Raw genomic sequence first — 2353 nt, 5'->3', positions numbered from 1 at the left:
AGGCTTTTGCCTAACCCAATCCAGGTACCTTATGTATCATGGTGAGGAGGTTGCAATCCCTTGGGGATCACCTGTCCACTGTTGGTTAAAGCAAATGTTCCAGAGGAAAGGGAAACAGATTTCTCTCAGTGGTTTGGCGCTAGTGGGAGGGGGACCCCGGCAGCTGGTGGGCACAAGCATAAGTCACAGGATGGCGTCCCTCAAGTGTCCCCGTGCCTGAGGCAGTACAACATGAAGTAGCAAATAAAAGACACTGTGACAGACCAAGAGAGATTGTGGAAGAAAAGGGAAAGTTTTTTTATTTTTAAACAAGGGCCCTGCATTTTCATCTTACACTGGGTTCAGCAAGTTGTGTAACCAGCCTTGATTATATGCTTTCGCCAAACTTTTCCCAAAATTCTGTATCTTTTTCCTGTCAAATTATTTTTCTAATTGGAGGTAGAGAAGCTGTTATAGATTAAGAATGTATGAAAAGAATGATTCATTACTGGCCAGTCCAGAGGATGTGGTCTATAACTCAACCCCACAAGATAAAACTCTAGCTTCTGAGATCACCTTTGTAGCTTTGATAAAATATTTCATGGGCTAGAACCAGTTGCACATAAAGAACCCACCATGCAAGCACGTGTAGGTACCTTAATTCTTTTTTGAGATGTTTGCAATTGTGAATCCTCATCTGTATGTAACAGAAGTGTTAGCACTGACTGGGGATATGCCAGTTGGTTGAGGCTTAATAGCCCACATTTTCTAAATAATTAAGAATGAGGCAGGGTGCAGTGGCTCACGCCTGTAATCCCAGCACTTTGGGAGGCCAAGGCGGGTGGATCACCAGAGGTCGGCAGTTCAAGACCAGCCTGACCAACATGGAGAAACCCCATCTATACTAAAAATACAAAATTAGCGGGCGTAGTGGCACATGCCTGTAATCCCAGCTACCCAAGAGGCTGAGGCAGGAGAATCACTTGACCCTGGGAGGGGGAGGTTGTGGAGAGCCGAGATCGCTCCATTGCACTCTAGCCTGGGCAACAAGAACAAAACTCTGTCTCAAAAAAAAAAAAAAAAAAAAAAAAAGAATGAGCTATAAAAGGTATGGAATAAAATCCAGGATATGAGGTGATGTTTTTAAAGCATTAAAGAAGGGAAATAGTGGAGAAAGATTGAAGCATGGCTTTCAGATGAAATGAGGAACAGACTTCCAGGAGGTGCAGAGAGAATAAGAAAACATATCTTGGGATATGAGAACAAAATTATATTGACAAAATGCTGACTGCATCTGAAGCATTGATGAGGAGGAAAGCAGGGAGGCACTGAGATTCAGGGATTAAAATGGCATAATCTCAGTGACAAGTTGGCTGATATTGCATTTAGTATTGAATTAAAAGAAAAAAAGATTAATGAGAAAATGGTGATTGGCACAACTCTAACCTAATGTGAAAAGATAGAAACTTTAACCCATAATAGAAAATTAGTTTCATGGTGTATAGCCATAGATAGATAGATAGATGATAGATAGGATGAATAGATGATAGATAGATAGATGATAGATAGGATGAATAGATAGATGATAAATAGGATAGATGGAGATAGATATAGATAGATATAGATAGAGATGATAGATAGATAGATAGATAGATAGATAGATAGATAGATAGACAGATAGATAGAACTAGGGACTAGATAACTAACTTGGAAAGGTACTAACTTGGCAATATAGAATAAGAGGCGGAAAACTCTTTTCTGAGTTTCTGATCAATTCTGATCAATGTAATGCAGAATTTCAAGGACTGAGCAAGAAGAGTGGAGTAAATATGTTACCAGTAACTCTGAGGTGCATTATTAGAAGAGTGTCTCAGAGACTGAGGAGAGAAGCTGCAAAGAAAAATAAAGGTAATGCTTGAAGGGGCAGAAACATGCCTAGAGCATGAGCCATTAGTGGAGCAGAAGGAGAGAGTTCAGGGACCTAGCAGGAAACCTGGTGATTTTCCACATGCAAATGAACCACGGTTCACAGGAGGCCCCTACATTACAATAAGCTCAAGCTTGCCCTAAGTGTTCATGCCTGGATTTCTCCAGCAATAAATCCTTCTGGATGAAGGGCACTGACCCCACACCCAGAAGCTCTAACTTTCCCACTGGTGAACTGTACAAAATGAGAACTTGGCACCATAAGCCTTTTTTTGAAAACAGAGACAATCACATTTAACAAATAAATAAATTATTAATGTCTTTACAAGATCAAGAAAAAGTAACGCAGTGTTTTCTACCAAGTAGACAAATCATAAAGCTCCCTTCTTTCCTCCGTCAACTCCCCTAAGTTTTCAAATTTCCCTTTAAATACATTGTTCTATCTAAA

At 40.1% G+C, this 2353-nt stretch overlaps 1 annotated feature.

Annotated features, from left to right (window-relative positions):
• Nucleotides 1813-2107: an enhancer, noted in NCBI's record as "tiled region #135; HepG2 Activating non-DNase unmatched - State 19:H4K20". NCBI's record gives its function as "activates a minimal TATA promoter and a strong SV40 promoter by Sharpr-MPRA in HepG2 cells {active_cell/tissue: HepG2}" and the evidence as "EXISTENCE:reporter gene assay evidence [ECO:0000049][PMID:27701403]".

The sequence above is a fragment of the Homo sapiens genome, chromosome 2, assembly GCF_000001405.40.
Source record: "Homo sapiens chromosome 2, GRCh38.p14 Primary Assembly".
NCBI lineage: Eukaryota > Metazoa > Chordata > Mammalia > Primates > Hominidae > Homo > Homo sapiens.
Note: the sequence above shows the minus strand (reverse complement) of the source record. Positions and strands in the feature narration are given on the sequence as shown.